This window comes from Homo sapiens, chromosome 21 (assembly GCF_000001405.40).
Source record: "Homo sapiens chromosome 21, GRCh38.p14 Primary Assembly".
Classification (NCBI taxonomy): Eukaryota; Metazoa; Chordata; class Mammalia; order Primates; family Hominidae; genus Homo; species Homo sapiens.
Window position 1 is genome coordinate 44,170,253 of NC_000021.9, and position 20,591 is coordinate 44,190,843.

The 20,591-nt window shown below is 54.6% G+C and overlaps 1 long non-coding RNA gene across 1 annotated transcript, besides 4 other annotated features; it reads right to left on the reverse strand.

The window, feature by feature from the left end:
* Positions 1-1,895: 1,895 nt before the first annotated feature.
* Positions 1,896-20,501, reverse strand: LOC105377139 (uncharacterized). Its single transcript, XR_001755082.3, has 4 exons — positions 20,096-20,501; positions 18,206-18,367; positions 4,566-4,900; positions 1,896-4,102 (listed from the first exon to the last, which is right to left on the reverse strand). It is a non-coding gene; the product is annotated as an uncharacterized LOC105377139 (long non-coding RNA).
* Positions 5,363-6,009: an enhancer, noted in NCBI's record as "H3K4me1 hESC enhancer chr21:45595498-45596144 (GRCh37/hg19 assembly coordinates)". NCBI's record gives its function as "activates a minimal SCP1, AML or CMV promoter by ChIP-STARR-seq in primed H9 embryonic stem cells {active_cell/tissue: H9 hESC(primed)}" and the evidence as "EXISTENCE:reporter gene assay evidence [ECO:0000049][PMID:30033119]".
* Positions 6,010-6,655: an enhancer, noted in NCBI's record as "H3K4me1 hESC enhancer chr21:45596145-45596790 (GRCh37/hg19 assembly coordinates)". NCBI's record gives its function as "activates a minimal SCP1, AML or CMV promoter by ChIP-STARR-seq in primed H9 embryonic stem cells {active_cell/tissue: H9 hESC(primed)}" and the evidence as "EXISTENCE:reporter gene assay evidence [ECO:0000049][PMID:30033119]".
* Positions 10,640-11,141: an enhancer, noted in NCBI's record as "H3K4me1 hESC enhancer chr21:45600775-45601276 (GRCh37/hg19 assembly coordinates)". NCBI's record gives its function as "activates a minimal SCP1, AML or CMV promoter by ChIP-STARR-seq in naive H9 embryonic stem cells {active_cell/tissue: H9 hESC(naive)}" and the evidence as "EXISTENCE:reporter gene assay evidence [ECO:0000049][PMID:30033119]".
* Positions 11,142-11,641: an enhancer, noted in NCBI's record as "H3K4me1 hESC enhancer chr21:45601277-45601776 (GRCh37/hg19 assembly coordinates)". NCBI's record gives its function as "activates a minimal SCP1, AML or CMV promoter by ChIP-STARR-seq in naive H9 embryonic stem cells {active_cell/tissue: H9 hESC(naive)}" and the evidence as "EXISTENCE:reporter gene assay evidence [ECO:0000049][PMID:30033119]".
* Positions 20,502-20,591: the final 90 nt, after the last annotated feature.

The following is a 20,591-nucleotide window of genomic DNA, read 5'->3' on the forward strand; positions in this document are numbered from 1 at the left end:
TGTCCCAGGTGCCCTCACTCGGTGCCACGCCTTGCCTTTCTGGAATCGTGCCCCAGCTTGTTAGAGTGGCACTGACTCTGCTGGGAGGATGTCCTGCCACCGGGGTTTGTCTTTTATAACAACTTGTCCCTCCTTCCCCTCCCTGGGTTTGTGATAACCTGGAGGTTAAACCTTAGAGCAGCCGCTCTTCACCTGGGGACTTTGCCCCAGGAGGCGTTGGCCAACTCTCTTGTGCCTGGAGGAGGAAGGCAGATTGTGCCTGGAGGGGAGAGGCTACGGGACGGAGCGGAGCGGGTTAGGTGCTCTGCCCAGTTCTCCTGCTTCTGCACGTCTCTGCCGCCTCTGCCTCCCTGCTCATTGCCCTCTCTGTTCCCGGCCTCTCCTCTCACCCTCAGAGTAAATGTCACATCCCAGAGGGCCACTGGTGCTCAGGCCACCTCTCACCCTCCCAGCCTGCTGTAACCTGGACCCCCAGTTTCCCCCATCTGCCCTGCCCAGGCCCCTCAGCTCCACACCCAGGACCCCAGGCCTGACACTCTTGGGTGTGGCTGCACGCCTAAGGGCAGAGGGCTTGGGTAGGGGGTAAGCGGGGGCTGTGGCCCTGCTGCCCCCGCTGCCTCAGTGGGAGAGGCCCTGTGGGCAGCCTGAGAGCCGAGGCCTCAGTGGTATTTCCTGGGAGGGCAGCCCCCAACCTCCTGCACCCACAGAGGGGCTGGAGCAGGACACAGGGTCGCTGGCCCCGTCCTCGGGAGCACCACAGGGCACAGGCCTGGCCTGGCCCGGCCGTAGCCCAGAGCTGACCTTTCCTTGTTGACTTGTGGTCCGGGACTTTCCAGGACAGGCTTCTTGCCACAGAGAAGGCTCCCGGGGAAACCCCAGGAGTGTGAAAGTGGAGCAGCCCAGGTCCCTGCCCTAGAAGAGCCACCAGGAGCCAGGACACCCCCTCCCGGGGACCCCTCCCACCCTCCAGCCCCAGCTTGACCCCAGACCTCTGCCCTCAGCCCCCTGGCTGTGTCTGAGCACCTCTGCCCCAGGGTCTTTGCACGGACCGTTCTGCCTGGAAAGTTCTTCCCGAGATCTGCTGAGGCGGCTCCTCCTCGGCCGCACGCTCCCTGAGGCTTCTTCACCCGCGCACACACGGGCACCGCCTGCCTCCCGGTCTCCTCTCCCCAGAACCTTAGCTCCAGGGTGCAGGGACTCGCCCACGTGGTTCCAGCCCAGGGCCTGGCCCGAGCAGGTGCTCCCTCTGTGCTTGTTGAATGAAAGCGAAGTGACCAACAGCACAGACTTTTTCCGAGGAAGAGAGAGAGCAGAGAGCAAAGCAGAGGCCTGAGGGACCCTGTGACCCCCAAGCCCACCTGGCTGGTTCCCTGCAGACAGCCCTGGCTCCTGCACTGCTGCTTTTCCCCGCCAGGGACCAGGCCCCCACCAGCCAGGAGCCCGGGACACGTCCATGTTCTGGGACTTGACCTTCGTCTCCCCACAGCCTGCATTTCCACCCTGCCTGGCCGCAGCTCTGGTTGGTGGGAAGGGGCTCCAGGCGGCCCCGCTCTGCTCCGGTACGTGCAGACATCTGGTGTGCAGTGACCTTCATCCCAAGCAAGGCCTAGAAAGGGGGAAATCGAGGCAGCATAGAGAGCCGGCCCAGGGCAGCCTTCTGGGCTGGAGCATGGGGGTATGAGGGGGCTGCCGGTGTGGTGTGGGTGGCCCGTCCCCTGGTGATGAGTGTGTGGGATGGCGCTCAGCCTCTGCCTCTGCGGCCTGCTCAGTGGGCCCTCCCACTCCCCTGGAGACGTCTCTGTGTGCTTGTGTTACCAGAAAGGAGTCCTGATCCAGACACCAAGAGAGGGTTCTTGGACCTCACACAGGAAGGAGTTCAGGGTGAGTCCAGAGAGTCAAGTGAGAAGTTTATTAATAGAGTAAAGGAATAAAGAATGGCTACTCCAGAGGCAGTGCGGAGGGCTGGGCTGCTCAGCTGAATATTCTTATGCTTATTTTGGTCATTTCTTGATTATATGTTAAACAAGGAGTGGATTATTCATGAATTTTCTGGGAAAGGGTGGTCAATTCCCAGAACTGAGGCTTCCTCTCCTTTTTAGACCGTGCAGGGTAACTTTCGGACGTTGCCATGGCATTTGTGGACATGGCGCTGGTGGGAGTGTCTCTTAGCAGCTAATGCATTAGAATTTGTGTATAATGAGTGGCGAGCACGACCAGAGGTCACTCTAGTCACCATCTTGGTTTTGGTGGGATTTGGCCACTTCTTTACTGCAACCTGCTTTATCGGCAAGGTCTTCGTGACTTGTATCTTGTGCCAACCTCCTGTCTTGTGACTAAGAATGCCTTACCCTCCCGGGAACGCAGTCCAGCAGGCCCCAGCCTCATTCCACCCAGCCCCTATTCAAGACGGAGTCGCTCTGGTTCAAACACCTCTGACAGTTGGACAAGTTGGTGACAGCCAGGAGGGCCCGATGTGGACATGTGACAGGCACCCTGTGGCCATCAGATTCTCAGGAGGAAGAAATCCCCTTCTGAAATAAAGCACCCTGAGAACCGGCGGGAAGGAGCGGGGACTCCGTCGGGGCTTTCCAGGGAAGCAGCCAGGGACTTGCCCTGATTTTGGTTTCTCCAGGTTGGAGCCGCCCCGCAGGCTGCCTCTGCCGGCGGGAGGAAGTGAGCAGCTCCTGCGGAACCTCTGGCTGGCACAGAGCCCGGGGGCGGGGGAGCCCTCCCTGCCAAGAGAAGCCATCAGGTGCAGAGGACAGCACTGACTGGGCCAGTGGGGCGTTCTCCAGCTGGGTCAGCCGTGGCCCCCGCCTCGGGCTGGAGTCCGGCAGGCAACTGCTGCAGAAACGGAGGCAGAGGCAGGTGGAGGAGCCGCCTCCAGGCGGAGGAGCCCCAGCAAGATGGGGCGCTGGAGTTGAGCTCAGGCTGTCAGCCCCAGAATCCAAGCTCCTTGCCCTCGTGCTAACCCAGCCTCACTAACTGGCAGCTGGGGGCACCCTCCCAGCCTGCCAGGGACACCACACTGGGCACACACCACTTCGGCTGCAGGACCCCATCCTCACTGGCTGTGGCGGGAGACTGGTGAGCCGTCCTTGTAGACGGGACTCCCCCTAGAGTCCTGAAGGACTGTCCTGGGGGCTGGGGAGCTGCTGGAGGCAGCAGCCTGGGCCAGGAGATCACTGGGGTGGTGAAGGGGAGAGGGTTAGGGCTTCGGTAGGGGGACCCCCTATAGACCAGACAACGGATTCCACAGCCACCACCCCCACCCCTGGCTGACCTCACCTTCTGCAAGGGACCCAGTCCTGGACAGGGTCACTGAATTGCTGCCCCCTAACCTGTCCCCACCCACTGGAGACCTCAGCCTGCCCTGCTCACCCTGGCACCGGCCAGCCTGTCCACGCTGGGTGCCCAGGGCGGGAAAACAGGTGCGGGTTCCCATGACTGCATCTCAGGACTCCTGTCTGCGCCCCTTCTTGGCGTGTCTTTAAATGTCTTTGTTAGGCCGCTCATTATGATCCCTCCTGTTTTAATGGAAAAATCTTGTAAACACTGGGAGGACCAGTGGTCTTTTTCTTTCTTAAATAGAGATGAGGTCTCACTATGTTGCCCGGGCTGATCTCAAACTCCTGGCCTCCAGCGATCCTCCTGCCTTGACTTCCCGAAGTGCTGGGATTCCAGGCGTGAGCCACTGGGCCCGGCCTAAATTCTTCTTCTGTACTTGCTGGTTTTCCCAAAATGTGCACACACTGATGTTAGAATCGGAAAGAGTATCACTCCTGTGACAGCAGTGGGAAGGTGTGTGTTACAGCCACAGGTGTCCACAGGATAGAATCTCACAGCAACAGACGTGCTAATGTGGGCACTGGAGGTTGCACCCTATACCGGGCACTGCCCATCCCTCCCCAGTTCCCAGACCAGCTACGCCAGGGATCTGGAGTCCCCTTCCATGAGTGTGACGAGGACAGGTGAGGTCTCCTGAGTCCTTACCAGCAGGTCAGGCACCCTGTTGAGTCGTCTTCAGAACCCTCAAAAGTGCACGCCCCTGCCCTGTGGGTCTGGGCCACGATCCTGGGACACAGTTCTGAATGCTGACATCCTGAAAGATCAAAATCCCAAAATTATAATTCTGGAAAAACTAATTCGAAAACATTCTGTAAAAGACATTTGTTTGGCCGGGCGCGGTGGCTCATGCCTGTAATCCCAGCACTTTGAGAGGCCGAGGCGGGTGGATCACGAGGTCAGGAGATCAAGACCATCCTGGCTAACACAGTGAAACTCCGTCTCCACTAAAAATACAAAAAATTAGCCGGGTGTGGTGGCGGGCGCCTGTAGTCCCAGCTACTCGGGAGGCTGAGGCAGGAGAATCGCTTGAACCTGGGAGGTGGAGGTTGCCCTGAGCCGAGATTGTGCCACTGCACTCCAGCCTGGGCAACAGAGCGACTCTGTCTCAAAAAAGAAAAATAAATAAATAAATAAATAAAATACATTTATTTATTTATATTTTAAGGGGGATTTGAGAAACTGAAAAACACGACAGCACCCCTCATAGGCGACTTTACCCAATAAAGTCGGTGATCATAACATTTTCTCCAGCACAGACACACAGGTGTGCTCATTCAGTCACGTGGATATGAGTTATGTGCAGATGAACCATTCACAGAGAAACTGGTCAGAACACCAACATGTTAGGTTTTGATCTTTCAGGAGCTCAGGATTTGGGATGACGGTGTTCGGGGTCAGGTCTTTTGAGGTTCTGATCAGCGCCGCCTCACCGCGCGATACCAGTGCAGAACGGGGAGACCCAGGTCGTCCAGGAGCTGGACTCCAGCCGGGACAGTCTGTCTGTGTCAGAGCCCGGGTCCCTCATGGGGCACTCAGCCTTCACTCGGGTTTCCTGCAAAAATGGAGAGCTTTTTTTCAAGTAGGGATGCCAAGGATGGCAGGCATGAAGCGGGCAGGCAGAGGTGGGAGCTAGTTAGCAGCATCTCCAATTACCGTGATGGGCAGAAAGAAGGTTCTAGACAACAGTGTCTTGATGAGGTCAAGAGGAACTGAAACCCCCACCCCACTTCCCCTGCCCCATCTGGTTCTGGGAAAGGGGAAATGCAGGTGCCGGCTGTGCGTGGGTCAGTGGCCCGCCCCCGCCTCTCTGCCTCGCGGACGTCCAGACTTCCGAGGCCTGGCTGTCTGCAGGGCGGCCATTGCTGTGCGCGCGCGCGCGGGCATGTGCATGGTTCAGGGAAGAGGCTGCATTTCACAGAGACTCTGTCCCAGGAGGTAGGCATTTTTTCTTTTCTTTCTTTCCTTCCTTCCTTCCTCCCTTCCTTCCTTCCTTCCTAACTTCCTTCCTTCCTTTTTCTTTCTCTCTCTTTTCTTTTCTTTCTTTCTTTTTTTTTGACAGAGTCTTGCTCTATCGCCCAGGCTGGAGTGCAGTGGCGTGATCTCGGCTTATTGTAACCTCCACCTCCCAGGTTCAAGCAATTCTCGTGCCTCAGCCTCCTGAGTACCTGGGACTAGGGGTACGCACCACCACGCCCAGCTAATTTTTGTATTTTTAGTAGAGATGGGGTTTCACCATGATGGCCAGGCTGATTTCGAACTCCTGGCCTTAAGTGAGCCTCCTGCCTCGTTCTCCCAAAGTGCTGGGATTACAGGCGTGAGCCACCATGCCCAGCCGGCATTTTCATCTGGACTCTGCCATGGGGCTCAGCAAATCAGATGTGACCTGGTGACAGGTGCCAAGAAGGTCTGGCGACCACAGGTTTCTTGTCGGTTTCTGCCTGGGACCCCCGCACCTCCCTACCAGTATTCCCAACCCAACGAAAGACCGGCCAAGTACAAACCAAGGGCAGCCCTGAAGCCCAGGACCATGAGGCCTGGAAGGCCCCAGGACAGGTGATTTGTGGCCCTGGTGTCTCAGGTCAGGAGCAGGGCAGAGCCACCTTCCTCCCTCCCTGTGCGGGGCTGCATGAGCTCAGGGACCTTTGGACCTGAGAAAGGTCAGGCTCACTTCCTCCCCGTGCCTGCGGTTGGCCGCAGGGGGAATATTCTCCTGACCCGAGTCCCGAAGCCCTGGGCGTGGAGTTTCCCTGGACTGGGAGAAAGTAAACACCGAGGGACTTGCCAAGAGGAAATGGAGAAGCCCAGGTGTTCTGGGCGGAGCTGAGTGTCCCGCAGGGGGTTCCGCAGCTCCTCGCCTCTGGAAGACCAAGGACAGCTTTCCCCAGGGCTACAGCCTCACGCTCCCCTCCCATCGTGGCTGGGCCTTTACTTGGGGGTGAGTGTCCTACAGACGAGGGGCTTAAAGCTACAGGAATGCCTCGTCTCGCAGAGCTGGAGGCTGGAAGGCAGATCGGCCTGTGAGGGCCGCGGTCACTCTTGGTCCTGAGCCCTCCTTGTCCGGCTGCTGGTGTCACGGGCACTCCTTGGGGTTCCTTGGCTTGTGGGAGCATCGCGCCGGCCCCGCCTCTGTCATCAGGCCGCCTCCCCTTCTCTTCTCGAAGGACACCTGCTACGGCGAGGGCCTCTCCAGGATGACCTCATCTCGTTCTCCACTAATCACAGCTGCAAAGATTTATTTCCAAATAAAGTCGCCTTCTTGGGTTCCAGGGGACCTGATTTTGGGAGGCGCTGTTCCCCCAGCACAGGGATACAGCAGGCCCTTGGCCTCATCGGACATCTGGTGCCCGCGCGCCCTCTCACTCACGTTGTCCAGGCCTCTGCCCTTCTCAACACCCGGACGTGGGCGTTCAGGTGTCCTTCCTGCCCTGGCGTATGCCCCACTTAGCTGAGTGGGGGGCTTAGACCTCCGCCCCATCTGCAGTCCTCCTGGGGCCTGCCAATCAGACCCCCTGCAGCTGCATGGTCTTGGGGCATTGCTGTAAGGCCCTGGGGCCTTTCTGAATCCATCTGCAAGCTGGAGCTGAGTCCAGGAGCTGAGGCCGGGAGCAGGAGGTGAGGTTGCTAGCTGAGGCTGGGAGCAAGAGCTGAGGCCACTGGAGCTGAGGCTGGGAGCTGAGATGTGGAGCTGGGGCTGAGGCTGGGAGGAGGGGTTGAGGATACCTGGAGTTTGGGAGCTGGGCTGAGAGGCCAGGGAGGAGAGCCCTGCCACCACCCTGCTGCCCCCCCTCGCCACCCCCCTGCTGCCACCTTGCTGCCACCCTGCCTCCTGTTCCCAGCCCTCTGGCCAGTCCCTGTGTTCGTTTTCTGTTTTCTACTTACCAGAAACTTAGCAGCTTGAAACAGCACCCGCTCGGCACACATTCCTTTTGGGAGTGTGAAATGGTGCAGCTGCTGTGGGAAATGGTCTGGTGATTCCTCGCAAAGCTAAACAATTGCCATAGCACCCTGCAGTTCCACACCTGGGGATGCACAGCCAGAAATGAAGACGGGTGTCTGAGCAAAAACTCGGACATGAGTGTTCACAGCAGCGTTATTCACAGTAGCTAGAAGGTGGAAACAACCCAAGTGTCCGTGGACCGAGGAACAGATCAACAGGCCACGGCGCACGCACGACGGAGTATTGTGCAGCCAGAAAAAGGGTGAAGCTCCCTTACACATTATGGCGTGGGTGAGCCTCAGAAACATGGTGCTAAGTGACTGCGTTTATATAAAAAGCTTGCACTGATGTAAAGTGTCTAGAGTAGAGAAACCCAGGAGATGAAGTGGATTCGTGGCTTCCAGGGCCTGAGGGCAGAGGGAAGGGACCGGCTGCTGATGGGTCTCCGTTTGGGAAGATGAACGAGTTCTGGAGCTTGCTTGAGGCAGTGTCTGCACAACAGTGTGAGTGCACGGAATGTGGCTGAATTGGACTCTTTAAAATAGTTCAGGTGGGCAATGTTATGTTATGTGTGTTTTACTACCATACAAATAAGTAAATAAATGGACAAGCCTGCACCATCTTGTAGCTCACACCTGCAGGTCAGGAGCCGGCCTGGGTCCCCTGCTGGGGCCTCACCTGGGGCTCAGGCCTCCTCCCAGGCTGGTTCAGAATCCAGGTCCTTGTGGGTGTGGGACTGAGGTCCCCGTTTTCTCGCAGCTGTTGTCAGGGACTGCCCTCAGCTCCTAGGGCTTTCTCTCGGGTCCCTGCCTGGTGGCCTCTGGTGGCCCCTCCATCTTCAAGCAGCAGGGGCCGGTGGAGTCCCCCCATGAGTGGCTCTTTCTGGCCATCCCTTCTGCACCCGCCAGAGGAAACTCCGCTTCTAAAGTGTTGGTGTGATGAGGTCAGGCCCGGAGGCACCTCCCTGTTTTAAGGTCAGCGGGTTGGTGAACTTCACCATGCCTTCAGAATCCCTCTGCCACACAACACAGCCGTCTTGGGAGTAACACTGGAGGCAGAGACCACGGGCGACCTCCAAGATCTGCTTACAACAGTCGTTTCAACAGAGTTGAGTCAGCTTGGGGCTTCTCCGAGTGACTGTGCACAGGGGTCCTGGGGCTTCTCCGAGTGACTGCGCGCAAGCGTCCTGGGACTTCTCCAAGTGACTGCGCACAGGCATCCTGGGGCTTCTCCGAGTGACTGCGAACAGGCGTCCTGGGGCTTCTCTGAGCGACTGCGCACAGGCGTCCCTGGGGTCCCTGGGGTTAGGATGCTGGCGCTGGCTCAGCAGGTCTGGGAAGGGCCAGGATTCCAGTGCCCAGGCTACCGTCCAGGTCCACACCATGCCCCAATGGACGCTCTCCAGCCCCTCCCTGAGGCTGGGGCCATGGGATGAGCTCAGTGGCATCCAGATCAGAGTCCACCCCCTCCACACCTTGCCATGGTCCTGATGTCACCAAGTGCATTGTAGCCCTAACCCTCGTGGACCCCCCTTCATGGGGTGGTGCAGGCAGCGTGTTCTCTGAGGGTAAGGACAGGGCCCAACAGGGGCTGCCCCAAGGAGCCAGTGGAGCCATGGTTCCCCACCTGCCCACTCGTCTGCCCACCCTCCCCTGAGTGGAGGCAGAGGAGCTGAGAACGGCCTGCCGGCCAGCCCTGGGAAAACCAGGTTCCTTATGGTCTGCTCAGCCATAGAGCCGGAGGCCCCTCCCAGCAGCCCCTGCCTGCCCACTCTGCCAGAGCTTCTCCATGCAACTTTTCTGCAGCATAGTCCTGTTGCACAAACACCTCTCTCTGCTTTTTCCTTTCTTTTTTTTTTTTTTAATTTAACCATATCTGCTGTATCATACAAGCACTCAGGATCTTGGTTGCAATGAATGGAAACCTATGCTAAATAACTTTCTCAGAGGGCTCTTGGGGCTCTGGAAACCAGACAGAAGGCTGGAGAATGAGGGCTGGGCATAGGCAGGTCCAGGGAGGCCAAGAGGGCAGCCTGGCTGTGAGGCAGCTGCTGGTACAGCCCAGACTGTCCCTGCTTCTGGGTCACTTGCTCCAGACCCAAAGTTCTGCCCAGGAATGTCTGGTGGTCAAACTCCAGCCATGTGGCTCCCTCTTTTCAGAGGTGAACTCAGTCTTCACTGATAAGGGTAAGGTTCCTGGTGAATCCTGCAGCTTGAATGTCCATCCCCATGAATCCGAGCTGAGCCTGCAGGGCTCCCAGCCCCAGGCCTCCACGGAGAGGAGATGAGCCAGCCCTGCTGAGCCCTGCCCAAACTGCACATGCGTGAGTTAAAGAAACGGCTATTACTGTTTAAAGCCATGCAGTGTTGGGCTGGTTTGTTAAATTGAAATAGATTACCCAGGCTAGGTGCAGTGGCTCACACCTGTAATCCCAGCATTTTGGGAGGCTGAGGCGGGTGGATCAATTGAGGTCAGGAGTTTGAGACCAGCCTGGCCAACATGGTGAAACCCCATCTCTACCGAAAACTATAAAAAATTAGTTGGTATGGTGGCATGCACCTGTAATCCGAGCTACTTGGGAGGCTGAGGCAGGAGAATCACTTGAACCAGGAGGTAGAGGTTGTAGTGAGCCGAGATCGTGCCACTGCACTCCAACCCCAGTGACAGAGTGAGACTGTCTCAAACAAACAAAAATCACCCAACACCACAGATGATCATCAAGTTCATGAAGACGGACCTTCAGTTTGCAGGGGCTGTGTGTCCATTTCATTGGCTTGGGTCTCCTTTTTTATCCTCAAGGGACTCCCAGGTGTTCCGATGCCCTGGCACTGAGGACTCAGGCCATGCCCTGGCCCACACCCTGCCCTGCATGTGTTGCAGCCTGAAGTGGTCCACTGGGCCTGGCATGTCTCAAAAGCCAAAAGGGAACAATGCTTCCCGGCTCCACATTCAGTGACAGCACGTCAGCAGCTGGAAGCCAGCATCAGTGGGGGTGTTTACACCATGGGAATGGGCCCACTCCACAGACTAGCGCTGTACCAAGAGAGCCAGTTTGGTTTCTGGGGGTCGTGGGGTTAGGTCCTCATGCTTCTCTCGGACCCACCCCCTAGAAATGTCCCCACCCAACCCCCACTGTAGCCTGGATGGACGGGGATGAGCTCTGCGGGGCTCCCGCCTGAGCCATCTTGTCTTCAGCTGCGTTTGGGCTCTGAGCTCCAGCCATGCTGGCTCCATGACCCAGGATGGGATTCATGCACTAACGTGAAGAGAGCAATCTCCTGAACAGAGGAAGGAGTGGGCCCTGGAGGAGCCGTGGCCCTGGGTGGTGGCACCAGGCAGCTGCAGGACCAGGGGCAGCGGTGAGGCACGAAGCCTCAGACTGGGTGTGGTTCCCACTCGTTCTTGCCGGAGAAACCTGCCTTTTCAAGCATAATTCAATCAAAAGGCCTTTTGTGGAGCCCAAACTAGAAGGCTTTGGGTTCCAGCACTGTGCCTCAGTTTCCTCATCTGGAGCATAAGGATGGGACCGTCACTGGGTGTAGATGTGGGGTCCCGGGAGGCGTGCAAGGGCCATGTTTGGGCAGGTGCCTGGAATGGAGGAGGCCTTGGTAAGTAAGCATTCATGAGCGAACCTCCCCTCTGCCGGCTCACATGTCCCACTCCCTCACATGTGGGCCAGTGTGTTGTCACCCTCTCTGCAGTGAGGAAACTGAGGCCCAGCCCAACGGCAGAGCCAGCCCAGCTGTCTGGGCAGCCCGACTCCAGAGCCGGGCAGGGAATTGCCTCCTTTCACGTTCAGGGTGACTATGCCAGTGCTCACAGTGACGGGTGGGCCGGGGCCAGCTGGCCTAGGGTCTGCCTTGCCATCTGGCGACACCATATCGCTCTTCCATCCTGGCATTTGGATTTTGTTACCAACAGCTTCACCAAACCGCCTTTCATGACACCCAGGACAGCCACGAGGCTGCCCCTGCCCCTGCCCTGCCTCAGTGGGACTCACAGCAGCTCAGAGGCTGGAGGGAGGTCTGGAAGCCCCTAGTGCTCAGTAGAGCAGTGAGATGGGAGAGAAGCAGCTGGGGAAGGAGGCCAGGTGAGCCTGGTGGGAGGCCTCTCAGTTTCTGCACACTTGGGAACATTCCAGAGTGACTGGCATTTCCCATGACTTTCTCTGGGATGAAGTGAGGCTGAGAATGTGAAGTTCCCAAGGGTTACAGACGCTTACTGTTGCAGACACAAATGACTACGCATTCCATCACGGGACAGTTTTCCTTTGGAAAGAGAATGACCCAATTTCCTTTTTTTCTAAAACTTAAGTCATTCTGCCAAATTTCAACATCCTAATTTTAAATCACTGGTAGAACCTCGATCCTGAAGTCTATCTTGGCCTCACTACAAGACCCCCAAAGAGCCGTCATCCCTGATAAGGTGGTTTTAAGTTTTAGTGATTGTTATTTTGCAATTCTTAGATTTTATTCACAAAATCCACGTGGACTCAATTCTAGCTCAAGCCATCTCCATGTCCCCGGCCACCACTGCCTGCCTGCCCTTCCCTGTTTATGGGTCTTTGTTTGGAGTCACCTCTTGTTTGCCTCAAATAATTAATTTTGAGTTGCTTTTTCGGGAAGGAAATGTTCTTGGTGCAATTTCTGGCCTCTATGTAGCTGAGAATGTTTTTTCTGTTGCCTGGACTGGTGCAGCGGGTCTCCCTATAGTGACCCGGCCAAGCACAGAAGTCTGGGTTTGCAGCTGTGAGACTCCAGACATCACCCCATGGTCTCCTGGCGTTGGTGGGTTTGCAGCCATGAAGCTCCAGCTGTCGCCCCATGGTCTCCTGGCATTGGTGGGTTTGCAGCCATGAAGCTCCAGCTGTCGCCCTGTGGTCTCCGTGGTCTCCTGGCACAGGATGCTGCTGGGCTACTCAGTTTCTCTCTGTGCTTGTCTGGTGTTTTATGCTTGAAGTGGAAGATTTCCACCAGATTCATTTTCATTAATTTTGCTTGTCCCCGTGAGCCGTTTGATTAAATAGATTCAGATCTGTCTTCATTCTAGAAGTTCCTTCTCTTACATACTCTATGGCTGCACCGTTCCGGTTGTTCGAGTTTCTTTATCTGGAAAATTGCTCCTTCGCCCAGCAGGTTTCTGGCTTCCGTCCTCCATGTCTGCTTTCTCTCTCCTCATCTCTGCCTTCCTCCTCCCTGGGGCATGGGGTGTGGGGCGTGGGGCTGCCGCCGCCTGTGTCTCGGCCTCCTGGTCCGGCTCTGTGCTTGTGGGTGCTGTTCCTTCAGCTCCCAGTGCCTTGAAAGCTGCCGCTGGGTCTCTCCTGAGATCACCTCCTCACACCTGCCCTCAGCTAATTCATGCCCATCCACCAGCTCCTGTTCCATTCCCGTCTGTTTCATCTGATGTCCCACCAGCTCCTGTTCCATTCCCATATATTTCCTCTCACCAGCTCCTGTTCCATCCGCATCTATTTCATCTATTTCATCTGACTCCTCACCACCTCCTGTTCCATTCCTGTCTATTTCATCTGACGTCTCACCAGCTCCTGTTCCATTCCCGTCTATTTCATCTGATGTCTCACCAGCTCCTGTTCCATCCTTGTCTATTTCATCTGATTTCTCACCAGCTCCTGTTCCATCCCTGTCTATTTCATCTATTTCATCTGACTTCTCACCAGCTCCTGCTCCATTCCCGTCTATTTCATCTGATGTCTCACCAGCTCCTGTTCCATCCCCGTCTATGTCATCTGACTTCTCACCAGCTCCTGTTCCATCCCCGTCTATTTCATCTGACATCTCACCAGCTCCTGTTCCATTCCCGTCTATTTCATCTGATGTCTCACCAGCTCCTGTTCCATCCCCGTCTATTTCATCTGATGTCTCACCAGCTCCTGTTCCATCCCCGTCTATTTCATCTGATGTCTCACCAGCTCCTGTTCCATCCCCAGCTATTTCATCTATTTCATCTAACATCTCACCAGCTCCTGTTCCATCCCCAGCTATTTCATCTATTTCATCTATTTCATCTAACGTCTCACCAGCTCCTGTTCCATTCCCGTCTATTCATCTGACTCCTCACCAGCTCCTGTTCCATCCCCATCTATTTCAACTATTTCATCTGACGTCTCACCAGCTCCTGTTCCATCCTTGTCTATTTCATCTGATGTCTCACCAGCTCCTGTTCCATCCCCAGCTATTTCATCTATTTCATCTATTTCATCTGACATCTCACCAGCTCCTGTTCCATCCCCAGCTATTTCATCTATTTCATCTGACATCTCACCAGCTCCTGTTCCATTCCCATCTATTTCATCTGACATCTCACCAGCTCCTGTTCCATCCCCAGCTATTTCATCTATTTCATCTATTTCATCTGACATCTCACCAGCTCCTGTTCCATCCCCAGCTATTTCATCTATTTCATCTGACGTCTCACCAGCTCCTGTTCCATTCCCATCTATTTCATCTATTTCATCTGACATCTCGCCAGCTCCTGTTCCATTCCCATCTATTTCATCTGACATCTCACCAGCTCCTGTTCCATTCCCATCTATTTCATCTGACATCTCACCAGCTCCTGTTCCATCCCTGTCTATTCCCGTCTATTTCATCTGACATCTCACCAGCTCCTGTTCCATCCTCGTCTATTTCATCTGACCTCTCACCAGCTCCTGTTCCATTCCTATTTCATCTGACATCTCACCAGCTCCTGTTCCATTCCCATCTATTTCATCTGACATCTCACCAGCTCCTGTTCCATCCCTGTCTATTCCCGTCTATTTCATCTGACATCTCACCAGCTCCTGTTCCATCCTCGTCTATTTCATCTGACCTCTCACCAGCTCCTGTTCCATTCCTATTTCATCTGACATCTCACCAGCTCCTGTTCTATTCCTGTCTATTTCATCTATTTCATCTGATGTGTCACCAGCTCCTGTTCCATTCCCGTCTATTTCATCTGATGTCTCACCAGCTCCTGTTCCATCCCCATCTATTTCATCTGATGTCTCACCAGCTCCTGTTCTATTCCTGTCTATTTCATCTGCCATCTCACCAGCTCCTGTTCCATCCCCGTCTATTTCATCTGACGTCTCACCAGCTCCTGTTCCATTCCCATCTATTTCATCTGACATCTCACCAGCTCCTGTTCCATTCCCATCTATTTCATCTGACATCTCACCAGCTCCTGTTCCATTCCCATCTATTTCATCTGACATCTCAGCACCCAGTGCCTACACTTAATGATTTCCTGAATTTTTCCAGTGAAACTAGCGCCTAAATGTATTCTTTCTTCCTTCAGAAAGTGTTTTTAATCCGCAGGTTGAGTACTGTGTTTTCCTGATTTGATAAAACAGAATATTTTTATAGCTCTGCCAGTTTTCCTTTTCTTCCTCATGAATAATCAGTGTGATTCAGCTGGGACTTTCCCTGTTGAACAGGGAGAGTGGGTTTTTCCAGCCTCTCCTCCTTTTCACTCCGCTGTGGTTGAACTCCTACTTACTCTTTCGGCAGATGGTGTTTGCCAAGTTAGTTTTGCAGCTGCCTGGGGGTACTGGGGTGGAAGCAGCCCCGGGAAACCCCATGGGGGACTTTGTGTCTTTTACTCCATCACAGCGAAGCCACGGGGCTGGGCCAGGCCCTGCCCTTTGGGAACGGGCTCCTCCGGTGCTGGCCTTGGCCTTGGCCCCACTTCATCCTGGCCCCTGCCCAGGCTTCCAGCCCCTGCCCACAGCTGCCCCCTCCAGGGGCTGCCACTGTCCAGGTCAGGGAAGGCTCTTCCTACCTGGGGAGAGGACGCCCTGGCCAGGAACTGTCCCTCAGCTTTCTGTGGTCTCTGTGTCCCCCGTGCCCTCCGGGTGCCCTGCTGGGGCCCTGCCTCCCCTTGTCGCTCAGCCTTCATGGTAGGGGCTGCGGGTCCCAGCGCCCCTCCTCCTCCTGGTCACTCACCTCCCACTGAAGCAGCCCCGTCCGCACCAGTGTCTGGGAAACCCCAGTGAGGCCCCTCCCTGCCAGACCCCAGGTGTGGGGGCTTCTGCTCCACCTGCTGCATCTGCCACGGGGCCCTTTGGAGAAAGTGTTTTACCCAAAGAGGCGAGTCCTGGTGATGCTGGAGCCTGGCCCTCATTGCTGTCAGCCCCCAGCACCTGGTACAAAGGCCACTCATCCCAGTCTCTGAGCCCTGAAGACAGCGGAGGGCAGCCTGAGACACAGGACCCTCTCCCACCAGCTCCAGGGGCCAATGCCAGCCTGGCCAGCGGCCGGGACCAGCACAGAGGCTGTGGATGGGGAGGGTGGTGCTGGAGGCAGGGGGCATGCTGGCGGTCTTTTGGGGGTGGTGGACAGCCCCACACCCTGCTTGCAATGGTGCGTCAGGCAGTGGCCCCTGGTGCCGGCTGCTTCCCCAGCAGTGACCTTGGCTTCTCTTCTGCAAGCCCCTGCCTGCCCCGAGATGCCAAGCCCCAGGATCCACCAGAACTGCCCTCGCTGCCTATGGCCCCGAGCGCCCACCCTCGGGGCTGGACCTTTGCAGGAGGACAAGCCATGCCGGCCTCAACTAGCGGAGACCTCTGTGGCCACCTACGGGTCCTCTGCACTGTGCGTGGGGCAGTGGGGACGGAGCTTCCTGCCCCCCGGGGCCTGCTCTGCTCCTGCTCCTTGGACCTGGAGGAGCCATATCCACACAGACATGCACGACAAATGCGGCTGCAGACACGCGTGATGAATGCAGCATGACAAGCCAGACCCAGGATGGTGCCTCTCCCCGGACAGGAGCACTGGCCCGAGCCTGGCCCTGGGTGAGCTGCACAGCCGTTCCCTGCCTCGATTTCCCATCTGAAATCAGAGCACTCCCTCCACAGGCTGGCGCGAGGACTAAGATCGGGGTAGACCCGTGACCCTAGGGGAGGGTCCCCACAGGCATGAGCTCCTTGGCTTTGTTTCACGACGATCGTGAACACCAAGCAGGCGTAAAGCATCCCGCAGCGTTTAGGCCCTACCAGAGCATAGCCTTGGCTGATGTGGTCCTCACCCACCGTGCCTGGCATGACATCTGCCGGCCTATGCTGAGAGGCCGAGAAAGGATGAGGGGTGGGGAGGGTATTCTCTGCATCTGCCCTCCTGTCCACGGGACACCGGGCCCTGACCTCTGACAGAGGTGAGCATGGGTCCCAGGTGGGCCCATCCGAAGCCTGCCTCAGGAGTGTGAATCTGTGGCTAGGGCCACTTTCCCAGGACACCTGGACATCAGCTGGCTGAGGTCCCCACCCCTGGAGGCTGGATCAGAGGGGGCCAGAGGGGAAGGAGGCAGTGTCCAGCCCCTGAGAGGAGCAGGGAGGAGGGATGAGGCCAGAGTCCGAGGCTGGCGGGCCACCCGGGGGCCACTGCTCCAGGCCTGGTTTGGGATCACAGATCACCCTGCTGACACGCTCCCTGTCAGCATCTGCACGGAGGAGTTTGCTGGCTGTGGCCTGCAGCCCACACATCCCAACCACAGACACGCTCTTTCCCCACCTTTTGGTCCCTCTAACAACTCAATGCCCAGAACTTTCTATTGCCCAGGACTCTCAGGGTCCCTTCGGAGGCCGGACAGACCCTCCCCTCCCCAGGCCTTCGTGCAGCCCCTGCTGCATGCCAGGCCCACCTTGGTGAGGCTGTGTCGGGCTGAGCTCCTGGTCATTCTGCAGCTGGCTGGGCCCAGCTCCCTTTCCAGTTGCCCTCAGGCCACCCAGGAGCAGCTGCGTAAGGATTGCTAAGCCTGAGTTATCTGCATCTTTCTTCTTTCACTAATTTCTTTCTTTTTTTTTTTTTTTTGAGACAGAGTCTCACTCTGTCACCCAGGCTGGAGTGAAGTGGCGTGATCTCGGCTCACTGCAACCTCTGCCTCCCGGGTTCAAGTGATTCTCCTGCCTCAGCCTCCCAAGTACCTGGGATTACAGGCACCCGTCAACACACCTGGCTAATTTTTGTATTTTTAGTAGAGACGGGGTTTCACTATGTTGGCCAGGCTGGTCTCAAACTCCTGACCTCAGGTGATCCACCCGCCTCGGCCTCCCAAAGTGCTGGGATTACAGGTGCGAGCCACTGCTCCTTGTCCACTAATTTCTTTTTCATGCTGATAGATGTCCTGTTCCTGAACCATCTTTGCATTTCTAAAATAAACCACCTGCTTGGGGGTGGTGTGTGATGATTTTGACACATTGGTAGTATATTTTTGCTAATATTTTATCCAAACTGTTTGCATCTATAGGTACAAGCAACATAGCTTTATCATTTTATATGCTCCCCCCCACCACCTTTTTTTGTTTTGAAATGGAGTTTCGCTCCTTTTGCCCAGTCTGGAGTGAAGTGGTGCAATCTTGGCTAACCGCAACCTCTGCCTCCCAGGTTCAAGTAATTCTCCTGCCTCAGCCTCCTGAGTAGCTGGGATTACAGGCACATGCCACCACACCTGGCTAATTTTGTATTTTTAGTAGTGACAGGGTTTCTCCATGTTGGTCAGGCTGGTCTCAAACTCCTGACCTCAGCTGATCCACCCGCCTCGGCCTCCCAAAGTGCTGGGATTACAGGCTTGAGCCACCGCACCTGGCCCTATATGCTCCCTTGACAAAAGCTATGCCTTCATAAATAGGAGGTTTCCCATCTTTTTCTGTGGCCTAGAAAAGTTAGAATTATCTTTTTAAAGGTTAAATAAAATTCAACTGGTCTGCACTTTCCTTAAAGATAAATATCCATCACCTTTCTAATTTCTCCTGTGGAAGGCGGACTATTCGAATATTCCAGTTCTTCTAGGATTGAGTTTGGTGATTTCTATTCTGCTGGAAAAGCAGCCCTCTCTGTTTTCATGGGGATGGACTTGACTGTCTTCATCAGTCCCAAAAGTCCCAGGGTGGACACTGCTGCCCAGCCTGGGTGAGATGCTCACCTTCAGCCACGTCTCGGGACAGGAGCTGGGGCAGGCACCAGCCTGGGTCCAAGGTCTCCCGGGACCAGCCTAGGTGGCCACGTGGCCGCCCTGCAGGAAGGATGGCTCTCCCTTGTGGTGCTGGGGAGGTGACTTCCATGACAGCGACTGTCACGGACACTTCTGGGAGAGATGAGAAGGGAACAGATGATTTTGGAGCCGTTCAGGTTTCACACACGGTTTTAGTCCCAACATTGCAGTCCTCATCGGCAAACGTGATCCCTCCCCCACCGCGTTGGAACATTCTGTACCAGGTTGTATCTTATTGTTTGAAAACAAGTTCTGCTAGTTAATTGGTTCGGGAGCAGCACGGGTAAGTAACCTCCCCATCTTCCCAACTTGGAATGTCTGCCTCTTTGTAGATGTATCATTGTTGATAGGCTTTTTATTAAAGTTAAATTCCCTTTATGTTTTTAACGTTTGATTATAATTTAATGTCTTCATTTTTCTTTTTAAGCATTTCAAATACCTGACAGGAAACATTTGCAAAACAGACAGCCAGACTTGTCAAACACTTAAATTACTCTTATCCTTTTAATAAATCAAGCTCATAGCAAACCAAATGCACTTAAACATTCTAATAGCTTCACAAACTTAGTTACTGAACATCTCCCAGCTTAAAGTTATAACTCTAATAGAAATAATACATTATCCCTAAACTGTACTTTAAAAATGACTATGCACTTTGGGAAGCTGAGGCAGTGGGTCACTTGAGACCAGCCTGGGCAACGTGGTGAAACCCCGTCTCTACTGAAAATACAAAAAGTAGCCGGGTGCCTGTAGTCTCAGCTAGTTGGGAAGCTGAGGTGAGAGAATCACTTGAGCCCAAGAAGTTGAGGCTGTAGTGAGTAGTGATCACACCACTGCACTCCAGTCTGGGCAATGGGAATGAGACCCTGTCTCAAAATAGTAATAATAATAATAATAATAATAATAAATAATGACTGATACAAAGAGTTGGCTCACTGAATTATTTCTAGTAAATTTTTGTTTGTTTCTATATAGTATGGTTTATTGCTGACTTTGACATATCTGTAAAGAATTTAACATTTTGGCCAGGCACGGTGGCTCACGCCTGTAATCCCAGCACTTTGGAAGGCCAAGGCAGGTGGATCATCTAAGGTCAGGAGTTCAAGACCAGCCTGGCCAACATGGTAAAACCCCATCTCTACTAAAAATACAAAAATTAGCCAGGCATGTTGGCAGGTGCCTGTAATCCCAGCTACTCGGGAGGCTGAGGCAGAAGAACCACTTGAACCTGGGAGGCGGAGGTTGCAGTGAGCCGAGATTGTGCCATTGCACTCCAGCCTGGGTGACAAAATGAGACCTTGTCTCTGCCAATTAAAAAAAATCATATTCTGGGCCGGGCGTGGTGGTTCATGCCTGTAATCACAGCATTTTGGGAGGCCAAAGCAGGAGAATTGCTTGAGTTCAGGAGTTCAAGACCAGCCTGGGCAACATAGCAAGATCTGGTCTCTATATTTAAAAAATAATAATAATCATGGCTGGGCACGGTGGTTCACACCTGTAATCCCAGCACTTTGGGAGGCTGAGGCAGGTGGATCACTTGAGGCCAGAAGTTTGAGACCAGCCTGGCCAACATGGCAAAACCCTGTCTCTACTACTGAAAATTAGCCGGGAATGGTGGCACACGCCTATAATCTCAGCTGCTTGGGAGGTTGAGGCACGAGAATCACTTGAACCCGGGAGGCAGAGGTTAAAGTGAGCCAAGATTGTGCCACTGCCCTCCAGCCTGGGTGACAGAGCGAGACTCTATCTCAAAAAAAAGTAAAAATAAAATAATCATATTCTGCATATTCATCCCATATCAGATACACAATTTGCACCTACCTTCTCCCATTTCATGGTTGTGTTTTCACTGTTCAGTGTCCTTGGTGCACAGATGGTTTAAATTTAATGTTTTTTTCTGTTGCTGCTTGTGCTTTTGGTGTCATATCCTAGAAATCACTGCCAAAAGCAATGTTGTCAAGCTTTTCCCCTGGGTTTTTGTCTGAGAGTTCTATATTTTTTGCTGTTACATTAGGGTTGTTGGTCTGTTCTGAGTTAGTTTTGGTACATGGTGTGAGGTAGGGGTCCAGCACTATTCTCTTGAGCGTGGAGATGGTGATGGGCTTTTCTGAGAAGAAGTAGTTACCCAGGATTTTTCCCTGTAGATGGCTCTGTGTTCTTGGTTTGCTTTGCCTCTGGCTGTAAACTACTGGCAGAGCAGACTGTGGACATGAGATCAAATGAAGGTTTAATGAAGACCATTTGTTTAACCTTGGCTTGGATTTGCAAGTAAACAGACTTAGAGACAGACCCAGACATCTGAAACCACTTGATTAGT